We start from the raw sequence: 2445 nt of genomic DNA on the forward strand, positions 1-2445 counted from the left end.
GCTAATATAGCCTATTTTCTACCCTTGGACTGCTTAAGTAGTTTTGCTTCACTTCTAGGAAATGCAGAGCTACATTTGGTACTTAGCAATAGAAATGTCTGAACTTAGGTTCCTAACTCAGCTATCTTTCTACTTCTTCCAAATTGTTTCTGCTTTATTTTCTTTTTCAGGTGAGAAAAATACATATTTTAATCTCAGTCTTTCATTTCAATCCCCTTCTCATGCAGTGTTCCCATTTTTAAGCCTAAGAGATACCGCTCTGATGTTCCTTCCTTTATTTTGTTTTTCAGGTGAGAAAGGAAGGGAGGGAAGGAAGGAAGGCGGGGAACAAACACTAATAAATGAGGGCCTTGCTCTTTTGCACACAACATCCCGATGATCTGTCTTTGGGCCTTGACGGGGTGACCAGATGCGACGTGTTTGAGGAAACCCAGGCACTTCTGGTGGCTGAGGAAGACAGGAAATCCCAACTTGACACTCACAGATGACGGCTAAAGCAGACACAACCACAGGGGCAGAAATCTGACTGCGAGGAACCTGGACTCTGACTCGAACACCCGCGAAGGACAGGGATTGGGACCCTTATATTACTGTTTACCCAGGAGTTACAAATCATTGCTCTTCCCGCCATCTTGGCTCCTGTGGAGGCCTGCTGGGAACAGGACTTCTAAAAGGAACTATATCTGGAAGGCTGTGGTCCAATGCCATTTTTGCCGGCTATAAGCAGGATCTCTGGAACCAAAGGGAGCACACACCTCTTCTAAAAATTGAAGTTGTTTATGCCTGAGATGAAACAGAATTCTATTTGGGCAAGAGATGTGCTTATGTATACAAAGCAAAGAACAACCCAGTGACTCCTGGCAGCAAACCAAACAAAACCAGAGTAATCGGGGGAAAGGTAACTCATGCTCATGGAAACAGTGGCCTGGTTCGTGCCAAATTCCGAAGTAATCTTCCTGCTAAGGCTATTGGACACAGAATCCGAGTGATGCTGTACCCCTCAAGGATCTAAACTAACGAAAAGTCAATAAATAAACTTGGATTTATGCTCTTGAAAAAAAAAATCATTGACCCTCTGAGTTGTGACTTTTCTGGCACCCCATTCGGATATTCTATATGATGGGTATGGTTTTTATTTGCTCTGTGGCCTTGGATGAGCCACTGAAAGGTCTTCAAGGTTAAATTTCTATCCTGTCTCATAATGACATCTTAACCCCTCAATAAAGTATTATATTTTTAAAATTAAAAAAAAAAATCTGAGAGATACTTCGATTCAAGGTTTAAAATACTCCAGAACCATCATTTAATTTGACAAAACTATGTCCTTGCCCTGAAAGCAAGAGTAGAAACTGTGGCCCTGTTATCATAGTCCTGTTTCCACAAAGCCTGTTCTATGTCCCCAAACAGGTTGGCAGAAGAGTTGTAAAGATCTGAGGGCCACGGTGATGAGGGAAAAGATTTTAGGAAACAGAAAAAGAAGAACAGTTATTGAGTGCTTATTATATATTCTAAGTGCTCTCATAGCATTCTCTTGTTAAATGCTCACAACTCTACAGTTCTAGCCTTCTCAGAGATTCCCCCAGCCCATACCACGTGGTCCAGAGAGGTCAAGGTCTTATGTCATGTTCTCCCTTAAACCTCTCTGCATCTCTAAACCCACAGGGCAGAGGTTAGCCCGTCATGTAGGTAGCCTGGTGTCATTTTACATGTACTAATTTCCACATTTAACTAATAAAAAACTTGCCAGAAATTGGATTGGGATTTTTTTTTTTTTAACACAGAGTTTCACTCTGTTACCCAGGCTGGAGTGCAATGGCACAATCTTGACTCACTGCAACCTCTGTGCCTCCCCTGTTGAAGCAATTCTCCTGCCTCAGCCTCCCATGTAGCTGGGATTACAGGCATGTGCCACCATGCCCAGCTAATTTTTTTGTATTTAGTAGAGACATGGTTTCACCATGTTGGTCAGGCTGGTCTCAAACTCCTGATCTCAGGTGATCCCACCCGCCTAGGCCTCCCAAAGTGCTGGGATTACAGGCATGAGCCACTGTGCCCAGCCCTGAATTGGGATTTTTAGCCGATTATAGGCTCAGGGCCATATGACAATAAAAATAAAACTTTAGGGCTACATATTTTAATCTCAGTCTTTTGTTTCAATCCCTTGCTCATGCAATTTTCCCTATTATTAAGCCAAGGAGATATCACTCCAATGTCCCTGGCTCCCTACACAACAAGGAGATGTGCCACCTCAGAGCTGAAACCTTGGGGGAACTCAGGCCCCAAACATCCACGAATAGAATGTATGGCTTCACTGAAGCAGAGTGGCACAATGACACGTGTCTTTACAAATTTAACAGGCTATAATCAGCTACAGCTGCCATGCAATGGCCTGTCTGTCTTGGCATCCACCAGCTTCTGTCCATAACGCAGCTTCTCAGCCGGTTT

General features: G+C 43.4%; 1 pseudogene; it reads left to right on the forward strand.

Annotated features, from left to right (window-relative positions):
* RPL35AP21 (ribosomal protein L35a pseudogene 21) lies at window positions 619-1056 on the forward strand (annotated as a pseudogene).

The sequence above is a fragment of the Homo sapiens genome, chromosome 9 (genome assembly GCF_000001405.40).
Source record: "Homo sapiens chromosome 9, GRCh38.p14 Primary Assembly".
NCBI lineage: Eukaryota > Metazoa > Chordata > Mammalia > Primates > Hominidae > Homo > Homo sapiens.